Here is a 25,964-nt window from a genome sequence, read left to right on the forward strand (position 1 = left end):
TGTGAACATGCTTTTTAAGTAACTATAATAATATGGGAACTATTAAATGAGTGTGGAGGAGTTCTCACTTCAACTGCCAGACTGTTGCATTGTATCCTGAAAAAATTGGCTGTGGTATCCTTGAGGTCATACTGTTTGTACAACATGCCATTTAATTCTCAGAGAGCAAAATTTTTGTTTCCAAAGAGTGAATACATAGCAAAGAGTCTACCTTTGGGACTTTGGGAATGAAGCAAGACAACAGGTTTACAAAAGATATTTCAGTTATACTAAGAAAGTATGGATTCCCAATTTTAGAAAGATAGACTTTTTCTATATCAAGGAAGGCATATCAGTATGTATCACTGGAGCTGGCCCTGAGTTGTATTAGGCCATTCTTGCATTGCTATAAAGAAATACCTGAGACTGAGTAATTTATAAAGAAAAGAGGTTTGATTGTCTCGTGGTTCTGCAGGTTTTACAGGAAGCATGATGCTGGCATCTGCTTGGCTTCTGGGGAGGCCTCGGGAACTTAAAATCATGACAGAAGGAGAAGTGGGAGCAGGCATGTCACATACCAAGAGCAGGAGGAAGTGAGAGAGTAGGGGGAGAGCTGCCACACATTTTTAAATGACCAGATCTTGGGAGAACTCACCATCATGAAAACAGCACTGAGCCATGAGGGATCCGCCCCCATGATCCAAACCTCTCACCAGGCCCCACCTCCAGCATCAGGGATTACATTTCAACATGAGATTTGGGCAGGGACAAATATACAAACTATATCAGAGTGGAGCAAAAGTTCCATGCCCCTTTCATTTGACTAGAGACATAGGGACAGCCATTTTCTACATCTCCCATGAGTTTGGAGAAAATATATGCCAGGATGGCAACTGTCTCAAAAGAGTCTTTCCTCCTTTTACCACCTCAGCTCTTTTATATCACTCACTTAAACAATGTGCCGATGCCTGCAGAACCAATTTGGGTCCAATCCCTCTCCAGATCATCCAGCACCTGAATTTAGAATATGGGGTTTTGGCATTTGTTGTTTAGGCCTTTGGAGTCTGTGGCCAAACTCCATTTGACAGAAAATGTTACTTGCAACATCCAGTCCAGCCCATGTTTTCAAGGATAGGTCTAACCCACAGAATGCTCACTGAAAAACTTCTAATTATAGACATTATGGGTACAGGTCACATCCATCTCAACAGGTGAGGAAATAGGTCTGGAACAACTGCAAAGCAGTGGTGGCTGCATACTGCTGTGTGATCTGATTCACATTCCAGAAAATGTTCACTTGCGAGAAGAACACGTGGCTGGCACCTCCACCTGGCCTGAAATCTCCAATTCATCCTGCTGAAGAGTAGAAGCTTGGAATCTGCCTCTTTTGGGTTCTAATACTGAGCTCTGTTTCCTATTGGTCTTGATGCCTCTGGAAAGTTATTCTATTCTGAGTATTTTCTTTTATGGTAGATGATACATATTTTAATAACTTATGCAATGAAGCTGAAAAGAGTTGAAAAATATAACGAGTTAGTAAAACTATCTATTTAGTTCTCACTGTTAGTTACAGTAAGCAAAGATCACCTTTAGTTGAAAGTGTTCAAAGGACAGAGGGCAGGCTAGAGCAGTGGTTCACAAAATGTTATCCTTATCCAGCATCAGTGATACAGCCTGGGATCTGCACAGAAATGAAACTTCCCAGGTGGCCAGTCACCCATGGGACCTACAAAGGCTCTACTACCTGAGAATTCCATCCTTAAAAAGGGAACAAAAACCAAATTAAGTCTTTTCATGATTCTCACTAGTCACAGCAGAGCAGACTTCTAGCCAGCATACTCATACCTTTCCTCACAGTGGAGCACTGGTTCCCTGAGGGCGGTCCTTGAGCAGCACCACCTGTGCACTTGTTAGAGACGCAGTTTCTCAACACAACCTATCCTCACCAACACAATAGCAAACTGAATTTGAGGTAGGGACACCAATCTAAATTTATTGAGTCTTCCATGGAACCCACACTCTGTCAAAATGTGAAAATGGTAATGAACCACTGCTACTCATTACATCCTTTAAAATGACTTCTCCATCAGATAATTGAAAAACAATTGAGGTCAGCACAGTGGCTTACGCCTGTAATCCCAGCACTTTGGGTGGTGGAGGCGGTCGGATCATCTGAGGTCGGGAGTTTGAGACCAGCCTGGCCAACATGGTGAAACCCCATCTTTACTAAAAATACAAAATTAGCCAGGCATGGTAGTGGGCACCTATAGTCCCAACTACTCAGGAGGCTGAGGCAGGAGAATGGCTTGAGCCCAGGGGGCGGAGGCTGCAGTGAGCCAAGATCGCACCATTGCACTCCAGCCTGGGCGACAGAGCAAGACTCTGTCTCAAAACAAACAAACAAAAAAACAATTGAAACAAAGTTTTTCTTTCTCTTCTTTCCTTTTTTTTTTTTTTGAGATGGAGTTTTGCTCTTGTTGCCCAGGTTGGAATGCAATGGCACGATCTCGGCTCACTACAACCTCTGCCTCCCAGGTTCTCCTGCCTCAGCCTCCCAAGTAGCTGGGATTACAGGCATGCACCAACACGCCCAGCTAATTTTATATTTCTAGTAGAGATGGGGTTTCTCCATATTGGTCAGGCTGGTCTCAAACTCCCGACCTCAGGTGATCCGCCTGCCTTGGCCTCCCAAAGTTCTGGGATTGCAGGCATGAGCCACCGCACCCAGCCAAAACAAAGTTTTTCAGTCATGGATTATGGATAAATTGAGGTGAGGTGATATCAGGACAATAGCTGTTTTCAAGCTCCCTAGCAAATCTAGTTTGCATTACATTTGAGAAATATTGCCCTAGACCCAGCTTGCCCAACTATACTAAATGCAGTGGGAAAGGTCCTTGTCTTTCCAGAAATCTCAAGAAAAGACCTCCCACAGATATAACACGGGTAATATGTCACTCCAAGTACAAGTACTTTCCCAAAAAGGAGAGGACCTATTTATGCAAGTCAGACATTTTATCCATGGCATGGAAATAATTGTCAATTGCAAGTAAAATAATTTTAATAAAATTTGGGATGAGACTTTTTTTTTTTTTGAGATGGAGTCTCGCTCTTGTCGCCCAGGCTGGAGTGCAGTGGCACAATCTCAGCTCACTGCAACCTCCACCTCCTGGGTTCAAGCGATTCTCCTGCTTCAACTTCCCGAGTAGCTGGGATTACAGGTGCGCGCCACCACACCTGGCTAATTTTTTGTATTTTTAGTAGAAACTATCTGGGGCACACCAGATAGTTTATGCTAAATATGTGCTTCATGCTAAATATCTGCTTTTGTATGCTTGGCACTTTAGGACATGTTGTATCATTTTGACCTCTGTGGGGGCTGGAACTGAGTAGCAAAGGTCAATGATCCAGACCCTCCATGGCTCTATGACCAAGGCTGGTAACACTTTGCATGTACTGTGTCACACATCACGTGCTGGAAGAATTAAACACTGTTCATATAACTCCGCAGGGAGAGGATAGCTGGAAGCTTCAGTCTGGTTTCTTTTGGACTCTCTCCCTATGTGCCTTTTCCCTTTGCTGATTTTAATGTATACCCTTTTGCTGTAAAAAACTGTAATTATGAGTATAATAGCTTTTGTTTATTCTTTGTTATTTATTTTTATTTTTGCACATGGGGTCTTGCTCTGTCACTCAGGCTGGAGTGCAGTGGCCTGATCATAGTTCACTGCAGCCTCAAACTCCTTGGCTCCAGGAATCCTCTCATCTCAGCTTCCCAAGTAGCTAGGCCTATAGGTGCAAGCCATCATGTCCAACTTATAATAGCTTTTCTGGGTTCTGTGAATTCTTCTAACAAATCATCTATCCTGAGAGTGGTCTTGGGGATCCCTGGTACACCAAAGAATAAATGCTGTCCAAATGTGAACACGCTTTACCTAATTCAAATAACACGAGAGTTACTTAAAATTTCCAGACCGTTGCCTGAAATCCAGAACAACATCTGCAGAGGTATCCTTGACCCCATGTTCTTGGCTTAAATATGCCATAATAGTCCAGAAAAATAACATTGCAATTTCCACAGATTAGGGCCGTAGCAAAGAATCAGCCTTTTGGAGTAAAGCAAGGCATTAGATTTAGAAGATATTTTTGACTAATGGAGTTTTATATATCAAGGAAGCCAATATCGACCAATTCATTGAGTAATGAACATAGCACTCTTTTTGATCTGCTTGGTTTATGCAGGCCAAGTGTAACTGGGGATGGATTATCTTCACTTAAGCCTCCTAAATTGAGGTCTCAGAAAGTGTAATTCCCCAAGGGAAAAATGGAATGCAAATACTCAACACAATGTTGTAACCAACCAAAATCCCAGGAGGGATAATACTTACTTTGCTGTCTTGTTACTCAAGGATCCTTACCTGACTACTCAAGTTTGGAGGCTCCGGGGAAGTCAGTATCTCTTTATTCTATCATTCAATGGAAACTTGTTTGTGCAGAAAAAAAGCACACCTTTGACAGCTTCAGTCCTTTCTGCATTGAGAAATTCCTGTTTGTTTTTCATGCTTAGGGAAAAAATCAAGGAATATTTTTCAGACCATTTTAATGGAATATAGCATATAGGCTAAGAGTATAGTCTCTGGACCCATATTGTCTGCATTCCAAACCTACATGCACTAATTACTACTTGCGTTAATTTGGGTATATTTCTTACCTTTTCTAAGCCTTATTTTCTTCATCTGTAAAATGAAGATCATAGTATTCACCCTTATGGTGTTTTTGAGTACTATTGAATCAATCCAGGTAAAACACTTAGTACCCAGAAAATAATAATCACTCAATAAATGTTAAATATCATTGTCATTATCATTCGTCAATCTTCCTAATCTCAGTAGCACTTTTAAAGATTTTGATCCTGTAACTGCTATGACACACCTTCTAAATGTCATTATATTTTTTAGCTGCCCTTTCCTGGTCTCATTTTCACAATCAATCTCCTTTACTGGGGCACTAAATGATAAAATACACCATGCCTCAATCCCAGGACACCAATTTCTTCTTGTGTTCTTCACAGTTTTCTTGAGAAGTCTGGTTTATTTCCATGCTTCAATTGGCAATTTATATACTGGTAACTCCCAAAATATATCTCCCTGTCACAGACCTCTATTCTGAACTCCACATCTCAGTATCCAATGGGATTCTTGCCATCTCCACCCAGTTGAATAAAAGGTATTCCAAAATCATATGAATAATATGTAAATGCAAAATTGATATTTTTATCTCTCAGCTCTGTTTTTCTCATACTCACTGCTATTTCCGTGATTGGCGGTCACCAAGCCATTTTGTTATGCAAGCCAAAATCTAGGGGTCAAGATTAATACACTCTCTCATCTATTGTATTCAATCCATTACAAGGTCCTATATAATTCTCATATATTTCCATATGTTAGCATCTCAACTGTGAAGACACCAATAGTCAAGTATATATTCTACAAGCTTGCACCTACAACATTGATAAACATTAAACGCTGAAAATCTCCTGATATTCTAAGAATTACTAAGCCTGATTGCTGTCAGTTTCCCAAATTACTATGCTATAGGCATTCATATGGCAGTTAACGTTAGTTTCTAAACAAAATTGATAATTGTGCTGTTATAGACATTTGGTTTTTAATAAAAATTATACATGAGCTATAAAAACATAACAAGATTACATGTCACTAAGAACTGATTTGGTTTCCAGTAATGAACCATAAGCAGTTACAACTAGATTTTGCGACTTCTTTAGTCACTTCTTTTAATGCATGAGCACCCCAGTTAATTATTGAGTTGACTTCATTTACATTTTCAGTGTCTGTCAAAATGAATATCAACCGTGTGTCTCAATAATTCAATAAATAAAGCACATGACAAAGTTGAGTTTAGATTTTAAGTACAGATTTTTTAAAAAAATTAAATAAAACTAATAATTTCATGTGAAACATCAAATCAGCTAAACATTAAATTAAATTCCTTAATCTGGGGATATCTTGAAGGCACATTGACTTGTAGCTATACTGAGGAAAAAAATGTAATATATGAAGCAAATTTAACTCAAATTTCTGTTCAAATGACATGATATTTTAGGATTATTGTAATGCTATAGAAAACTTTTTAATATCTCATATCACATTTGTTATTCTAATAGTTTACAAGACCAGGATTATATAGTTCAGTTAACTCCTTTAAAGGATATTAACATCTTTCATTAAACAAAGGAAGGATAAGGAAAAACATGAATTTGACATCGAACATTATAGCACAAAGGTAGAAATGGCTTAGTGGATGAACTTTTCTGATCATTGGTTAAATTAACATTATCTAGACTGTTCTGAATCTGGTGATTTCAGATTTTAGAATCCTAGAATCTCAATAGAACTACAAGTATCCAGCCTAACTGCTTAACTAGTGAAATAATGTTTGTAACCTTTCTAAAGCATGGTACCACTCCTACCAATGCCTTTAAAAACAATACTTTATGGGTCCCAAATCAACAACAACAACAAAAAATCTATATTCTGCCATCTGGTTTCCAATTGTCTTTCCAAAATTATTTCCTACTGTTTTTTTTCTCACACACTCTATGTTCCAGACAACAAATTACCAAGTATTCTCTGAACATATACAGAGTCTTCACACCTCAATAACTTTGTCTCAACCCTTCAGTAATGCCCTCTCATCAACCGCAAATCTAAGTCATCTGTCAAGGTGTAGTTCAGATATCACGTCAAACATGAAGTCACACCAGACTGCTACATATGACAGTAATTTCTCCCTCTTCTAATGTTCCATCATACCCAGTGACTCACTTAGGTACTCACAACACTTTAATATGCATTAAAATTATTTATGCAGAATTATTACAATTTAAAGTATTCTTTAAGCAGAACCCTCTTTTGATTTATCATTTTTTCCCTTTTAACACTGTTTCACTCACTGAGTGTTAATTGAGTGATAATTGTCTCACTGACAGAGAAAAGGGCAACATTTAAGTGAACTTCAAAGGGAACTGTCACTCACTGATTTCATTTTATTTTTATTTTATTTATTTATTTATTTAATTTTGAGACAGAGTCTCTCTCTGTCACCCAGGCTGGAGTGCAGTGGCACAATCTCGGCTCACTGCAACCTCCACCTCCTGTGTTCAAGTAATTCTACTGCCTCAGCCTCCTGAGTAGCTAGGACTACAGGTGTGCGCCATCATGCCCGGTTAATTTTTGTATTTTTAGTAGAGATGAGATTTCACCATGTTGGCCAGGCTGGTCTCGAACTCCTGACCTCAAGTGATCTTCCCACTTTGGTGTCCCAAAGTGCTGGGATTACAGGCGTGAGCCACCATGCCCAGCCACTGATTTCATTTTAATAAATGTAAGTGTTTCTTTGCTGAATATAAAGTGTAACTCTTATATTATATTTAGATTACATTTAGAAATCGTCATGCATCAGATTCAGAATGGTGAAACAGTTAGGAGCCACAATGTAATTGCCAAAACAATAACATAGTTTAATTCTTTATCCTTATTCTTAAAAGACCATTGAAAGAGATACAATCATAATGACCTAAGTAATGGAGTAATGTATTTAGATTTGTATCTGATCTTGGCAAGTGCAATATTTCATTCATTAATGTATTTAGGAAAAAAACCTATATTGTTAAAGTTGTATATTATTTTCCTATGGAAGAAGGCCTAGCACAAAAATGAGGAACAGAATATTTTTCCAAAAAGTGGTGTTTCCCTGCCCTTTCCTACCCCTGCTGACCAATTTGCTCCACAAATATCTATTTTGAAATGTGTGCAGTTTGGTCCTAATAAGATTACCTTCTCATTAACCAAAATGACTCCAAAAGGCATGGGGCGGAATAAAGAACAATGCAATCATAATAGAATTTTGGAAATTAAGATTTCTAGCAATCTTGGCCAACAAATGCTAAATTTATTATCTAATACAAACAGAAGTATGGCAATGGTACATAAATAGAATAATAAAATGGAAGAGTTAGCCCAGAAATAAACCCTAGTATACATACAATTTTACAATCTATGTAAAACCCTCAGTTCAGTAGGCAGATATATTATTTATTAAATAATACTAGAATAAATAGTTGACTATAGGAAACAATACTATTTACTTTTAAGATACCAACATACATATTTTGTTTTAAAGAGATAAATAGTTAAAAAACCATAAATATGACTGTCATATTGTAAATATTTGAGCAACAGATTGGAAGAGAAAACTATAAAAGTCTAAATACATTAAAATAAATTTGGTTTCTTAAAAATTTTAAGTTCACTTTGAATCTTAGAGAATGTCACTGTGCAAATTACAAAGATAAAGACAAATAGAGTGACTTGGTCTGTGATGCAAAGAAAGCATGATAATAAAACCTACAGAAGGATAACCTTTTAAAATATATACTTAAGGTTAAAATGCCCTTCTACCTAATAATATTTTTAAAAAACCAAATAAACTCTAAGGAAATGTGAGAGATTTTTCTTATAACTGCTATAGCCAAGACTCAGACTTGGGAATGGCATAGAAAGAATATTGTTAGAACAATTAAAATAGGGGGAAAGGCAAAAAGATGTTTCTCTGTTCTAGGAAGAGGACCTTGATCATAGTACGCTGGCTGGTGATTTTGACATTTTCTCAGGATTATGAGACAGGATAATTATCTTCATTTTGCCAGTACAGTTAGTTGAGGCTTGCAGAAATTTAATTACTTGCTCAAAAACTCTTTAAACCTCAATCCTAGGTTTGGACCCTTTTACTGCGATTGCAGGTGCTGGGCCTCAGAAAACAATACCCCAAAAGGAAAGCTTCAGAAGCAGCCTGAGAAACAAAAGCTTTCCTATGACCTTGTCCTGTCCTCCTGTGTCTCAGTCCCTTTCTCCCCCAGGGCTAGCCATAGAAACTAGAATCCTTCTTCCTCAAGGCAGGTCATAGAAACCAGAACCCCTTTTCCCCAAAGCTAGTCATAAAATCTAAAAATATGACTCTTTAATTTCCCTCTGCCTTTCTGTGTAAAAACTGGCTATAAATAAATTATCTGACCCATTTTTTTTTACTGTAGGTCAAAAGACCTACATTCCAGAAAAGGGTCTGCCCCTTATCCAGAAAGAAAAAATGCATGCTCAGAGAGGCCAAGAAGAATCTAGACAGTCCTTGTTGGATTTTCCCACTAGCCTATTGGCATTAGATCATCTTTTTTGTCCAATCATATTTCAACACAGCTGTCTATACTTTGTTGAGCCTAAGCATAAAAATGAATAATTTCCTCTGTATCTTTGAGTCTTCATTCTGAAGGCTCCCGTGCATACATGTTAAGTACATTTGTATTTTTTCTCCAATTAATCTGCCTTTTGCAATTTGATTTTTCAGTGAACCTTCAGAGAGCCAAGCCTTTGGCCCCTACACAGGTAAATATTATTTCCAGTACACCAACAACTCTGCATGGCTTAAGTAATCCATAGAAAAATAAACTATAGCAAGTTTATAAAATAGAAAATAAACTACAAATATGATTACAAAATGCTATACCAGTATTCATAATTGGTATTTTGGTGCATTCAAAACTAGAAAAGATCCAGTTCCCAGCAGGCATCTCTTCCAGGAAAATGAGCTGAATCAAATCAGATGAACCATTTGTCTTAGTGGTGATAAGGCCTACTTTTTTTTAAATCTAATTCAGTGTGTGTGTGTGTGTGTGTGTGTGTGTGTGTGCGCATGCGAGCACGTGGGTGTGTTTGTTTCCATACTGAAAATGTGATTACAAATTGAACAAATTCCATAAAAGTCAATGGCCCAACAAATTTCATTTTCTCTCTTTAAAGACTGTATTACACAGAAAATTACATTAAATCCTACATAAGATAAGCATACTTAATAAATTTTTTAAATGAAAAGCAATATTTTGGCAGAGTCATGCAAGAAATTCTATGTAGCAAATTGTAAAATGAGAAGATACAAGCTTATGTTCATTGCTTAGCAACAATCTAAGATGAATGCCCAGGAAATAATTGCTAACTATTAGAGGCAGGTAAAATTTAGAGGGGATAAAATATATCCTTGTTGAAACCTGTGAAGAAAATAATGCTTTGTTGCTGAGCTTAGGTCACTTTTGGACAGTGTAGAGGGCCCTATCTTTATTTCATAATCTGTTCCTTCTTCAAGCCCTGATTATTTCAACTGATGTTAACGAAATCAAAACATTTCACCTTGTGGGAGCCATACGTTCTTGGCCCCCTAAAGGTTTGCTAAAAATCACTGACATGAGGTAGATTGATTAATAGGAGAAAAGGCACACACATTTAACCTGTATACACAGGAGCCTTCAGAATGATGAACCAATGTCCCAAAGAGTTACAGAAACTTATATACCATCCTGAGGCCACAGTAAAGAATGGAGACTCAGAGCATGGCCAGAAACAGGTAAATCAGATTTAAAGGCAAGACAGGTTAAGAGAAAGAGAAAGAAAGAAGCTTGGCTAGCAAAGGTGGCCTTGTTATGTAGATGAAGCTTCCCTCAGAGATAATACATGGTACATGTTTCTTTTCAGATCTTTTAAAGGTGTCTGACTCTAAGGGAGGCAGAGCAAGATGGGCAAATAGAATCCTCCAATGGAATCACCAAATTGAATGCTATCCACACAAAAAAACACTTTCATAAGAACCAAAAATCAGATTAGGTACCGGCTCAGCTGCAATAGGGTAGAATACCAGAAGTGCTTGTGGGATTCCCAATTCCAGACCTTGGCTCCTGGATGGCATTTCTGGACCTTTTCAAGGCCTGTGAGAAGCCCCTGCTACCCTGAAGGGAGAGTCCCAAGCCTGGGAGCACTCACCGCAAGCTGAGTGAAGAACCCTTGGACCTTGAGTAAACGGTTGTAGTCAAGCAGTACTCACCATGGGATGGGGATGGTGGTAGCCCTGGGGAGAGACTCCTCTGCTTGAGGAAATGGGAGGCAAAAACGGGAAGGAATTTGTCTTGCAGCCTGAGTGCCAGCTCAGCCACAGTAGAATAGAGCACCAGGTAGATACCTAGGGTTACCAACTCCAGGACCTGGCTCCTGGGTGACATCTCTGGACCTGCCTAGGTCCAGGGTGAACTAGCTGCCCTGAGGGGAAGTACACAAGCATGGTTGGATTCTCCAGTTGCTGATTGTAGAGCCCTTGGGCCTTGAGTGAACATAAATGGTAGCCAGGCAGTGGTGACTGTGGGCCTTGGGTGAGACCCAGTGCTGTGCTGGCTTTTAGTATGAACCAATGCAGTCCCAGTGGTGGTGGCCACAGGGGTGATCGTGTTACCCCTTCCACAGTTCCAGCCAGCTCAGCACAGAGAGAGACTCTGTTTGTTTGGGAGAAAGTAAGGGAAGAAAACAAGAGTGTTTGTCTGCTAATCCAGGGAATTTTCCTGGATCTTAATCAAGAATACCAAAGCAATGCCTCTATAAGATTGCAAGAGCCACAGTATTACTGTGTTTGGGGTGCTCACTAATGCAGATACTGCTTCAGTGACCAAAGACTTAGGTCACAAAAACGTCCCTTTGAATATCTGGAAAGCTTTCCCAAAAATACAAAGAATACAAAGATACCCAATTCTTCAATGCTCAGACACTAAAGAACATCCACAAGCCTCAAGACTATCCAGGAAAGCATGTCCTTGCCAAATGAACTAAATAAAGCACCAGTGACCAAGCCCAGAGAGACACAGATATGTGACCTTTCACAAGAACAACTGAAAATATCTGTTTTGAGGAAGCTCAACGAAATGAAACATAACATAGAGAAGGAATTCAGAATTATATCAGATAAATTTAACAAAAAGATTGAAATATAAAAAGAATGAAGCAGAATTCTTTGAGAAATGCAATTGACATACTGAAGATTGCATCAGTGTCTCTTAACAGCAGAATTGATTAAGCAGAAGGAAGAATTAGTGAGCTTAAAGACAGGCTATTTGAAACGACAGTCAGAGGAGACAAAAGAATAAAGAAGAATAAAGCATGCCTACAAGATCTAGAAAACAGCCTAAAAAGGGAAACTCTAAGAGGTATTGGCCTTAAAGAGATGGTAAAGAGAGAGATGGCGGTACAAAGTTTATTCCAAGGGATAATAACAAAGAACTTCCCAAACCTAGAGAAAGATATCAATATCCAAGTATAAGAAGGTTATAGAACACTAAGTAGATTTAACCCAAAGAAGACTACCGCAAGGCATTTAATAAACATTTAATTAAACACAATAAAAAGTCCAGAAATATGGCCAATGAATTTTGGACATGCGTGCCAAGCTAATCTAAGGGAATAAAGAAGAGTTGTTTTAAAAAGCACTGTAACAATTGAATAACCAAATGGAAAAATGTACCTGGACACCAATCTTACACTACACAAATTTATTCAAAATGGATCTTAGGCTTCAATATAAAAGCAAAATGTATAAAACTTACAGGATAAAATATTTCAGTCCTTGCTGTAGGGAAAGATTTCTTAGAATACAAAAAGAAAAGATAAATTGTATTTTATCAAATATAAAAAAGAACTTTTACCAAAATTCAAGAAATGAAAGACAAGTCATAAACCTAGAGAAAATACTAACAATACATTTACCTGAACAAAGAGCTTGTATCTAGAATACATAAAGAATAATTCCACTTGATACTAAAATGACAACTAAAATACTGGACAATTTTCATGGTTAAATATTTCAGTAAAAGATATTCAATAAGCTCATGAATAAGTTCCCAACATTTTTACTCCTCAGAAAGATACAAATAAAATCCACAATTCAGATACCAATTCACGCCTTGTATAATGTCTGCAATTAAAAAGTGTCACAAAACCAAAAGCTGGCACGGATGTGAAGCAACTGGTACTTCATACACTGATATTAGGGCTGAAAAATGGTACAGGACTTTGAAAAACATTTTGGCAGTTTCTTAATAAGTTAAACACACACCGCCATATGATCCAGACCTTCTACTTCTAGCCCTTCTATTTACTCCAGAGAAATGAAAGCTTATGTTCATACAAAGACATCTAAAAAATATGTTCATGGCCACTTTAATTACAACACTAAAAATGTGGAAAGAACCAAAATGTCCATCATTTGGTAAATGAGTAAACAATATGTGGTATAACTATAACTATACAATAGAATTCGGATTCACCGATGAAAAGGAACTGATTTTCTCATACACACAAAAGCATGTACAGACTTCAAATACATTTTTCCAAGTGAAGGAAGCAAACTGGACTACATATTGTATATATCCATTTACATGAAATTGCCATATATAAATTACCATTTAAACTTTTATGTCTATAGTACTAAAGAAAGATCATAAATATTTCAAAACAACCTTTAGTAATATGCCATCATGTCTCTATTTCTTTGACTTTTATTAATTACGAATATGGCATGTGCTCTGTGTAAAACTTCCAAAACAAGCAAATATTTCTTTGCAAAATAACCATAATTAGCCATCAAATGTGTATATTACCAAATGCAAACATATACATATATTTACATAAATAACATTTATAAATCTAGGCACATATTTGGAAGTTGATAATTTTCCCTTTTTATTGATAATGTAACTTGAAGATGCTTTTCAGAAACATAAATAAATTTACCTGAAAGATTATAAAAGTTGTACAGTAGTCACAATATGGACGCGCTATAATTTATCTCACAACTGCTTTGTCTTTTATGCATTGATACTTTTTTGCATGTATTTAAGTTAGTTGTGTCAAATACAGTCCTAGAAGTAGAATTAACATGCAAAAGGCATGCAAATTTTAAAACTTTGCTGGATCATCAAATTTATTTCCAGAAAGAGAGTAATATTTTAAACTCCTTTCATACTCTGATACTAGGGTAAAAATATAAAATTTATCTTAATCATATTTAATACACTTATCATTCTTTTATACTTTTTGTATCTATCTTTGATGCTTTTTACTAATATCATTTGTTAACTTGGCTATGAATTCATTATTTGAAATAGCAAAATTGTTACATGTTAAGCATACATATATGTATATTTTGTTTTTACTCTCATTTATGTACTATAAGTTATTTCTGTATTGATTCAGATTTGAACTGTCTTATATAAAGTATATAAAATACTTTGCCAAAGCTGAATGTTATTAAATATTACATAATTATTGTAGATATAAGTTTTTTGCCATAGTTAATACAAATGGCACTTCATTTTCTTTATGGAAGATTTTGGGTGCTCTTATATAATTTCTCATCCAGGTCAACATTACCATCATCACCATTTATAAGAAAAAAAGGTTAATATTTTGATATTTTGTTCAGAACTATGCTTATATTTTTAAATTTTTTATATAATTTGTTCAAATCTGTATTATAATAAGAAAGAAACCTGGATTTCTTTGGCTTCTGTTACTTTTATGCTAGCTTTTCCTCTGCTTAATTTTGTTTTTACTGTCAGTGAAATTATTTTATTTATATGAATTAATTAGTTTATATAAATAATTTTAATTAAAAATAGCTATAAAATTTTGAAATACTTTAGCATGCTACGTATTTGACATATACATGAAATATGAAGAATATTAATGAAGTGAACAAATGTCTATCTACCAATATTGCGAGAGAAATAAGGACATATTACCAACAGGTGAACAATGACTTAAATGATGACAAACCTTTTGTTATAAACCAGGTGGCATTCGGTGGAAAGATGTCCTTGTCCTCGTGGACTTTGAGAAGTACCTTCTCAATAGCATCCATGGAGATCTACCACCAGAGAAAATGGAGCTGAATCTTTACAAAGAGAAAAGAAAACAAATTGTCAACACAGGGTTCTATATGAACAAGACCATTCTTTGAAACTGAGAATAAGACATATGCACATAAACAGACCTGAGGCAATTCGTCTCTGAACAACCTGTAATTTACTTGCTCCCAGAAGCTCTACAGGCTGCAGGAAATGACACGTGAAAAACCAAACTTTGAAAATGCATGAAGGGTAAGATGCGCCCTCTGCTGGTGACAAGAGGTAATGACAGTAGGTCGTAATTTCGGCCTAGAAATTTATGTAGCATCACAACTGTTTTATTGAATTGGTTACAAGAGAGTCACTAAGATTGGCTCAGAATCCTGGGATGGGCCATCAACCCCATCTTCTGAAGGAGAGGTTGTCAAAGAATGTGTAGAAATGTTTTTAATTAGCCTCAGATAAAAATCCAATAGAAGAACTTAAATTGAATAAAAAATTTCAATAAACATAAAAGTGGTGATAAAAGAGGAAACAAATTAAAAGAGAAAAACATAAAATGAAGGGAAAGATAGTCAACTTAAAAAAACTATTAATAATGACTTTAAATTGTATAAGGCCTAAACACCCCAATTAAAATTTAGTAGAGATTTTCAGATAAGAAAAAAAAGCAAGTTCCAATTGTAGACTCTTAATATGAAAGACAACTTACATTTAAAACCTAATTAGGTTGAAAATAATAGTATGGGAAAAGACAGCAAACAAAAGTAAGCATTAAAAAACTATGTAAGGCCAGGTGCAGTGGCTCACGCCTGTAATCCCAGCACTTTGAGAGGCCGAGGCGACGGATCACAAGGTCAGGAGATCGAGACCATCCTGGCTAACACGGTGAAACCCTGTCTCTACTTAAAAAATACAAAAAACTAGCTGGGCGTGGTGGCGGGTGCCTGTAGTCCCAGCTACTCGGGAGGCTGAGGCAGGAGAATGGCGTGAACCCAGGAGGCGGAGCTTGCAGTGAGCCAAGATCGCACCACTGCACTGCACTCCAGCCTGGGTGACAGAGCGAGACTCCACCTAAAAAAAAAAAAAAAGCTATGTAAACCCAAAATAAAATTCGATGGCCTCCTGCAACAATCTAAGTGGACTATCTCCTCTGCCAGGGCACTCTAAATTTAACCTGAAAGACTGGTTCAGGCCATGACTGGAAGGAGGTGTCAGACATACCTCATTATGCCCCCCTCCCTTGTGGAATTCAGGAAAAGCTGGCTAGCATTTAAGCTCAACACAGAACTTAAGTCTGATAAGAAACATTTACAATCTATTCTCTCTGAAGCCTGCTGCTTTCAGGCTTCATGTGCATGATAAAACCTTGGTCTCCATAACCCCTTATCATAACCCAGACGTTCCTTTCTACTGATAACTCTTTCAACTAATTGCCAATCAGAAAATTTTAAAATCTGCTTATAACCTGGAACTCCCCACCATGATCCTGCCCTGGATCCCTCCAGTTGTCCTATCTTTCTGGGCTGAAGCAATGTATTTCTTAAATGTATTTGATTGATGTCTTATGTCTCCTGAAAAATTATAAAACCAAGCTGTGCCCGGACCACCTTGGGCACATATTTTCGAGGTCCCCTGAGGGCTGTGTCATAGGCCATGGTCACTCACATTTGGCTCAAAATAAATATCTTCAAATATTTTACAGTTTGACTCTTTTCATCAACAGCTGGAATGGGTACACTAATGTTAGAAAAAAAGTAGCCTTTAAGAAAAAGAGTAATAACTAGAGATAATAAGGGGTATTTCATTATTAAAGGATCCATTTAACATGAATACCAATAAACCTGAATATTTCAGTACCTGATGAAAGAACTTCAAAGTACATCAAAATGAAACCTGGTGGGTATTTCTTTTTTTTTTTTTTTTGTAATTTGTGGCTCTCTGCTGAATTCTTAACCTTGCCTTTTATTTTCTTTCTGTCTTCCTCTGTCTCTCCGTCTCCCTCTTCCTGCTTTTTAAGTTCTACTCAGGGAAGAAGTGGTCTGATTGACCTAGTCTGTCTTGACCAGAAGAACATCTCCAATGTACAAATGATCACATATTGCAGGGCTTAGTACATCACTGACAACTTCAATTGAGATTGTGATTTGTTAGATATAATTTTCTTGAAATCCTTGATACTTTCATTAAGGCCTACTATATGATTTTGTTTCATTAGTATGTGCTAATGTAGGAATATGTATTTAGGTTGGTGCAAAAGTAATTCTGGTTTTTGCCATTACTTTTAATGGCAAAAATATACACCTTATTTACTTCACTGTTTTCCCACTACACGGTACATCTGTAATGAATCTTTAGCATATGGCCCATACCTGACACAAGTGTACTAAAGAAACATTTATTAAATCAATTAAATGATAAAATTAATTGAAAGAATTTAAGGAAATTATGACAAAAAGATCCACTGCCAGTGAGTATCATGGTATCATGTACCTAAATACAAATTGATCTTAATTTTGTATTAATTGGCTTCAAGGATAAAAAGCTACAAACTAAAGCATATTTCAGAGAAAAAAAATAGGGTTTGTAAAGATATCTGCTTCCAGTAATGGGAGAATAATCTGTTTCAACAACCATCCTCCTGGGAAAATCTAGATAAACAAAAACAAAAAAAATCAAGGACATCTGTTTGAAGACAGAAATCCAAGGATGCAAAGATTTGAAGGGACAAGATGTCAGAAGAGTCACTCACCTGGTGAGAAAAAAATGTAATATTGCTTTTCCCTTCAAGCTTTTTGCTGATTCAAAAGAGGTGACTGAGAACATACAGGGCTAAGCAGAAACCTGTAGCTGAGGAGCTAAGCAGTTGAGCAGGACTTCAGTAGTCTCACTCACCCCAGGGAACAATATACGGATTCAGGGCCTTCCAAGGCCCTGGAAAATGCCCCAAGGGTTCATTTGGCATCCCTGAGGGTTTATGGCCTAAGGGTCCATATGAATCAGAAATAAAAAAAAACTCCTCACAAAACTTAAAGCCCAGCTTCAAAAGGTCGCAATCCCTGATTGCTATGAGATGAACTACCCTCATCTTAACTATCTCTCATTAGCAAAAACAAATGCTCCCTGGACGAAGATAAAATCACCTAGTGAAGATAAAATCACCTAGGATTTCCAATTACCTCTATACTATTTCATACAGAAAATCAAGCATACAATCAAAACTAACTGTGCATGCAAAATATTAAAAATGCATGATTCAAAAACATTTTTGGGGTAATAAAATTTCTAGCTGACTTCTAGTTTAACTCCACTCTTGTCATAGAACATGCTGTGTATTAGTATTTGACCATTACCAAATCCTGATTAATAATCAATTTTTATGATTTTAATGTAATACTTTTAATGTAATACTTTTAATGTAATACTTTTAATGTAATACTTGAGGAGAATATGTTCTCTGCAGTTGTTGGGTCTGTTCTTTTCTTTATGTCAATTATGACAATATTGTTTAAATATTCTGCTTTCTTAATATTTTATTCCTTGTTTGTTCTATTAATTTCAGAGATAGGTAAGTTAAATTACCTGAATCTCCTTTTCATCCTGACCATTTCCTGCTTTTTTTGCTAAAAAAAAAGTTATTACATAAACAAAAGGTTAAGATGTTTATATTATTTTCCTCTTGGATTCAGCCTATTATTATGTTGGAATAAACCTTTTTTTTTTCTTCTAGAAGCAATTCATCCGCTAAACCCACTTTGTCTAAGAACAATCACATCAACATTTTCGGTTAATTGTTCCATTGTATTTTTTCCCATTCTTTTCTATAAGTTATGCAGTTTACATTTGAAATTATATAGATACCAACAATCATTAATGTTTAAAATGGAGTATCCAAACTGTTTAATCCCTGATATATGTGTATTTGAATCTTCTATATTATTTACAAGATATACTGAGTAGAAACCACCAAAAAAAACATTAACACAATAAAAAGACACTGTATTCCTCTAGGGGAAAAAAAAGACAGGATTATAGCATTAAACTTGAAAACGTGGGCATAATCTTAAGAAAAGTTAGAAAAAAACCCTTAAATTTGGGGAATCATTCAAAGAACCATTAGACAAGTGTGTTAGTCAAAAATTGTATCACATTTTAATAGCAGTTTGGATTTACTATATATTCATATAATTATTTACAAGCTCCGTGATTTAGATTTCTTTTTAAGGCAGAAGTTATTTTAATTCCAGTGAAATAAATATTTAAAATTGTTTTTGCAGTTACAGATAGATAAGAGGATAATACTAAAATCAGTTTCCACTACAGAAATCATCTGCAAAATGACAAATTTTAATGTGGGTTGCCTAATGTTGTATGCTCACCTTATTGCAGACATTTCTACTGGACCATGATATCTCTCTTGATGCACGTTAACTTATTTCATTTAAGAACTGTTCAATGTCAGCAGATCATTATTTGAACCACAATCATGAGATATCCAAGCTCACTCTTCAGGAGACTCTAGTAGGATTATCTTTACTAAGGCTTCTTTATTTTACAGCAATTCTGGAGAGTCCATTCACTTGTAATGTTGTAACTTTATTAACATTTTTAATATAATAAATTTAGCTATTTAAGAGTTATTAATTCCAGGGAGATGATGCTACATTTTGTTCTCATAGGGGCAATAATACATACATTTTAATTAAAAGTTAATTTCTAATTAAATACGGAGTTATTGATGTCAATAAAAATACTGACGTATCAATAGACTTGGCTGCTCCCAAATAGCAAGATTTTCAGATTTTTTTTTTTTGAGACGGAGTCTCGCTCTGTCACCCAGGCTGGAGTGCAGCGGCACGATCTCAGCTCACTGCAAGCTCTGCCTCCTGGGTTCACGCCATTCTCCTGCCTCAGCCTCCCGAGTGGCTGGGAATACAGGCGCCCGCCACCATGCCAGGCTAATGTTTTGTATTTTTAGTAGAGACAGGGTTTCACCGTGTTAGCCAGGATGGTTGCGATCTCCTGACCTCGTGATCCGCCCGTCTCGGTCTGCCAAAGTGCCGGGATTACAGGCGTAAGCCACCGAGCACGGCCCAGATTTTTTTTTAATTCAAAGGATGACCAAGTATCAACTAATTTGTTTCAACCAGAGGCTTCAAATAATAGTATTACTGAATATTTTCAGAACAACCAAGCTATTTATCAACATTATAAACACAACATAATTTCTATTATTTTAAAATTATTAAGCATATGGAATGCATATAAGTGGACATTTTCATGTGAGGCTTGTGGGATTATATTTTATATTTCAACTATAAGTACCTTTTAGGTGTGAGGACATACGGAACGATCAAACAATATGACAGCTTTAAAAACGAGTTCAAAATGACTTGTCTGAGTGCCATATTCAAAGCTTTTCAGTACAAATAAGACAATAAAAATAAAATAATTAAAAAGCTAAGGTATATATGTATATATACATATATATTTTAAGTTACTGAAAAAGGTTCAAGAGTCCAATGCTAAATATGAATTATGTGTTACCATTTCAAATCAGGTGCTTAAAGTTCTGCTGGTCTTATCTGTGCCATCAATGATCTACCTATTGTTCTTATTGTACTTATTGTAGTGGACTGGATTTGGCTCACAGGGATTTGGCTCACAGGGCCATAGTTTGCTGACCCTGGCTTGGACCAGTTAGAATAGGGTTTCTCAATCTTCACACTATTGTTATTGGGGGTCTGTTGATTCATTGCCATTGTGTTGCTCTATTCATTTTAGGATGTTGAACAACATTCCTGACCTTTGCCCACTAGATCGCAGTAGAACTCCCCCACTGTAGAAATGTCTCCAGACATTGTCAAACATCCCCTGGGGTACAAAATCACCCTAGGTTGAGAACCATTGCTCTGCCAGTCCCCTGTCCAGAGAGAACAGACTTATTCTGTTTTTTCTTTTTTCTGTTGTTTTATTTATTTTGTGCACCTGTTAGCACGTCTTGGTTGAGAACTTTTCCTGCACTCAGATTGGGATATACAGAAGGTGAAAACAATGCCCAGGGAACTCAATTCTGTGTCTTTCCTTGAATCCAAGTCCTCAAATGTGTCTGCTTTCTTTTGTCTACTTTTCATTTAGTCTTCTGCTGTTTGTTTCATTTGTCTCATCCAGGTTTTAGTTGTAATAACTGAGGAGAACTAGGGTGAAATGTGCTTACTTTATCTTAGTCTCCTAGATAAGTATTTGTAAAATACGATTTCTGTCTGAGGACGTGCAGTGTCCTGGTTAAGAGTGTACCGGCACGGTGGCTCATGCCTGTAATCCCAGCACTTTGGGAGGCTGAGGCGGGCAGATCACGAGGTTAGGAGTTTAAGACCAGCCTGACCCAACATGGTGAAACCCCGTCTCTACTAAAAATACAAAAATTAGCCGGGCATGGTGGCACATGCCTGTAATCCCAGCTTCTCGTGAGGCTGAGGCAGGAGAATCGCTTGAACCCAGGAGGTGGAGGTTGCAGTGAGCCAAGATCGCGCCACTGCCTTCCAGCCTGGGTGACAGCAAGAGACTCTAACCCAAAAAATAAAAATAAATATAAAAAAGAGTGTACTTTCAGGAGCCAAGTATCATGAATTATGAATTTAACTCCTGGCTCTACTATTCAAAGGATGTAAGACCCTGGGAAGGATATATAGCCTCCTGCTACTCAGTGTTTTCAGATGTAAATTTATAGCGGCATTAATACACAACTCATAGTTGAATATAATAGAATCCTCATGTAACTCATAAGGGCTAAATGAATTACTGTACATAAATAACATTGACCAGTTTTTGTTACATAGTAAACACTATGCATCAGATATCATTAGTATCGTTTTTATTATAATTATCTGGAAAACCATGGACAAGTGACTTTAACATGCCAATGATTATTAACACTCCAGATCCCTACACCCTTCTTAAAGTGAAAGTGAGAATCATCAAAAAGGAAAGCTTCAGTGGAGTTTTCAAAACTGGAAAAGATGCACTTCATTTTGAATAAACTTTATGTAAGATTTTAAAGGGCTGGAAAAGTGGGACATTTGATATCTTAAGGTATTTCGAATCACAAAGAATTTAAATGCCTGGGCTAAAAGGATCCCATTACAGTGTTTTTCTTTAAAGAAATTCTCTCCACCCATCCCCACCCCCACACCCTGGGACAGTAAGTGAGAGAGGACTAGTGTTTCATTAAGGCTGTACCTACTCTCACTCTCTCTAGAACAACATTCGCTTGCTGTGCAAGAGTATACATTAATCTCTGTTTGTGGAAGGACTTTCACCCCCTGTCAACCTAGAGTGGAGAAGTTCTTTCCATCTTTCAAAATGCATCATCAGTCACCTGAGGTTCTAAAGCTAAATACTTGAACAAAGAAGCGTGCACTCACACAATTCCCACAGCAGAAGAGAGAAAACAAAGGAAGCATTGAACGTAAAACATAGCATAAAATAAGATGAAAGAACTAAGACCAAATATTTATATATCAATAAATCGAAATGGGATAAGTTCACATATTAGAAATAAAAGGCTGAGCAAATAACACCGGCAAATAAATATTGTATCTAATAGGTGTATCTAAAATGATTTAAAAGTATGAATTGAGTTGTCCCATGACATTAATCCTAGGCAATGTAGAATTGTTAAACAAGAAAAAGAGGGGTATATTATAGTGATATTGATTACCATCTACATTGATAATGAAACTTTGTAATTAATACTTAGGCTCTGAATAATAAAATGTCAAAAATAAGCTGAAATAAGCATAAGGGTGAAGGTATTTTTTAAAATATATACTGATTTTCTATTTTGGGGGAGGGCTAAATACCCAGTAGTGGGATTTCTGGATCTTACAGTAACTCTATTTTTAGTTTTGTGAGAAATCTCCACCCTGTTTTCCATAGTAGCTATACTAATTTGCATTCCTACCAGCAGGTGTATGAGTTCCCTTTTCTTTGCATCCTGGCCAACATCTGTTCCTACTAATAGCCATTCTAACTGGGGTAAGAAGATATCTCATTGTGGTTTTGACTTCCATTTCCCTGATAATTAGTGATGTTGAGCATTTTTTCCATATACCTGTTGGCCATTTGTATGTCTTCTTTTGAGAAATGTCTATACATGTCCTTTGCCCACTTTTTAATAGGATTATGTTTTTTTTTTTTAATCTGTTGAGTTGTTCGAGTTCTTTGCATATTTGGGATGCTAGTTCCTTGTCCTATGAATAGTTTGCGAATATTTTCTCCCATTCTGTAGGTTGTGTCATTACTCTGTTGTTTTCTTTTCTGCGCAGATGCTTTTTATTTAATGTGGTCCCATTTGTCTGTTTTTGGTTTTGATGCCTATGCTTTTGAAGTCTTAGCCAAAAAATATTTGTCTAGGCCACTGTTCTAAAGTGTTCCCCCTATGTTTTCTTCTAGTAGTTTTATAGTTTCAGATCTTAAACTTAAGGTAGCACTATTCACAATAGCAAAGATATGAAATCAATCTAAGTGTCCATCAATAGACAAATGGATAAATAAAATGTGGTAAATATACACGACGGAATACTATTTGGCCATAGAAAAGAATACAATCACGTTTTTTGCAGCAACATGAATGGGACTTTAGGTTATTGTGTTAAGTGAAATAAGCCAGGCACAGAAAGAAAAATATCACATATTCTCACTCATATGTGGAAATTAAGAAAGTTGCTATCATGGAGGTAGAAAGGAGAATAATAGATATGAGAGGCTGGGAAGGGTGTGTGGGTAGGGGAATAAAGAGAGGTTGGTTAATGGGTACAAACATAAGGTCAGATAGAGGGGACATTTCTAATGTTCGATAGCAGAGTAGAGTGGCTATAGTTAACAACAGTGTATCATATATTTTGAAATAGCTACAAGAGAAGGCTTGAGATGGTTCTAACACATAGAAATGGTAAGTACTCAAGGTGATGAATGCCCTAAATGCCATGACTTGATCATTACACATTCTATGTATGTAACAAAATATCACGTGTACCCCCAAAACATGTACAAATATTATGTATCCATACAAATTTAACACATAATAAAACAAATCTTGTACCTAAAATCCCCCAAAAACCCCGAAGAATAAAATTAAGTGTAACAAGAATGAGAAACAGAGTTTAACCCACCATGAACAGCTAATGAATAATTCACATAATATTTTAGAGTAGTTAATCACATAATTTATCTGAAAAATGTGTTAATAATTTGCCGAGGATAATGGCTTCCACCAGGTGATGGGTTGATAGGTGCAACAAAGCATCATGGTACATATTTGCCTATGTAACAAATCTGCATATCCTGCACATGTACCCTAGAACTTAATAGAAAAAAAGTATTAATAAGATTGGTATTGTCTTATTTTGAATCCCCCAGAAGCAGGACCTAGGACAAGAATTCCATTGAAATCTGTTTATGAGAGAAGAAAAGGAACACAACATAGGGCATGGAAATTACATAGGAAGGGAAAACATTCAATAAATTGTACATAACTAAGCTACCTACCACAAGTTAATCATATGGAAAAATTCTGAGAAATGGTGTAAAGTGTGACCAAATTTTTCCACCCAAGGTGGGAGAGAGTTGGGGTATTTATATACTGTATCCCAGCAGTCACTGGTTGGGAGTTTCTGGGTATTTGTTAATTCACTGGAACTTCTGGCCTGATGCATGGCAACAGAAAAGCCTTGTAAGATTTCAGAAAGAATTTTGTGGCAGAGAGACACAGACATTGGTAGTTCAAAGTTTAAAGAGGCACACTGAAAACTGTCGGGTCTGAGGAATATGAGTAGGGCACTACTGGCATCTGCTATGCCATATACTATTGTATATGAACTGATGAAAATTTTAAGTGGCAATAAGGCAACTACTAAAATTAAGCATATGTAGACCACAAAGAAAATCATAGTAAATGTCAGCATGTAAAAAATAAAAAGCCATATTTTCTGACTACAATGGTGTAATGTTTAAAATTAAGGTGGACAGAAAATCAAAAATTATCTCAAAATATGTTTTAATAATAAGAAGAGATTCCTGGGCAAGATGGCCAAATAGGAACAGCTCCGGTCTGCAGCTCCCAGCGAGACCGGCACAGAAGGTGGGTAATTTCTGCATTTCCAACTGAGGTACCCGATTTATCTCATTGGGACTGGTTAGACAGTGGGTGCAGCCCATGGAGGATGAGCAGAAGCAGGGTGGGGCGTCGCCTCACCTGGGAAGTGCAAGGGGTCAGGGAACTCCCTCCCCTAGCCAAGGGAAGCCATGAGGGACTGTGCTGTGAGGGATGGTGCTATGTGGTCCAGACATTATGCTTTGCCCATGGTCTTCGCAACCCACAGACCAGGAGATTCCCTCTGGTGTCTACACCACAAGGGGCCTGGGTTTCAAGCACAAAACTGGGTGGCTGTTTGGGCAGACACCAAGCTAGCTGCAGGAGTTTTCTTTCATACCCCACTGGCGCCTGGAATGCCAGCAAGACAGAACCGTTCACTTCCCTGGAAAGAAGGCTGAAGCCAGGGAGCCAAGTGGTCTTGCTCAGCGGATCCCACCCCCAAGGACCCCAGCAAGCTAAGATCCACTGGCTTGAAATTCCTGCTGCCAGCACAGCAGTCTGAAGTCAACCTGGGATGCTCTAGCTTGGTGGGGAGAGGGGCATCTGCCATTACTGAGGCTTGAGTAGGTGGTTTTCCCTTCACACTGTAAACAAACCCGGAGGCAGTTAGGACTGGGTGGAGCCCATCTCAGCTTGGCAGAGCCACTGTAGCCAGACTGCCTCTCTAGATTCCTTCTCTCTGGGCAGGGCATCTCTGAAAGAAAGGCAGCAGCCCCAGTCAGGGGCTTATAGATAAAACTCCCATCTCCCTGGGACAGAGCACCTGGGGGAAGGGACAGCTGTGGGCGCAGCTTCAGCAGACTTAAACATTCCTGCCTGCCGGCTCTGAAGAGAGCCGCAGCTCTCCCAGCACAGCACTTGAGCTCTGGTAAAGGACAGACTGCCTCCTCAAGTGGATCTGTGACCCCCCGAGCCTCCTGACTAGGAGACACCTCCCAGCAGGGGTCGACAGACATCTCATACAGGAGAGTTCCAGCTGGCATCTGGTGGGTGCCCCTCTGGGATGAAGCTTCCAGAGGAGAGAACAGGCAGCAATCTTTGCTG

General features: G+C 37.3%; 1 long non-coding RNA gene across 1 annotated transcript in view; it reads right to left on the bottom strand.

The window, feature by feature from the left end:
- The window catches only part of LOC105373150 (uncharacterized), a 246,359-nt gene that overhangs the window by 19,213 nt on the left and 201,182 nt on the right, over positions 1-25,964 (bottom strand). The window contains exons 4-5 of the long non-coding RNA NR_188591.1: positions 14,694-14,811; positions 4,395-4,538 (exon numbers count right to left, since the gene is read on the bottom strand). This is a non-coding gene — a long non-coding RNA (uncharacterized LOC105373150). The remainder of the gene's footprint in view (positions 1-4,394; positions 4,539-14,693; positions 14,812-25,964) is intronic.

This window comes from Homo sapiens, chromosome X (assembly GCF_000001405.40).
Source record: "Homo sapiens chromosome X, GRCh38.p14 Primary Assembly".
Classification (NCBI taxonomy): domain Eukaryota; kingdom Metazoa; phylum Chordata; class Mammalia; order Primates; family Hominidae; genus Homo; species Homo sapiens.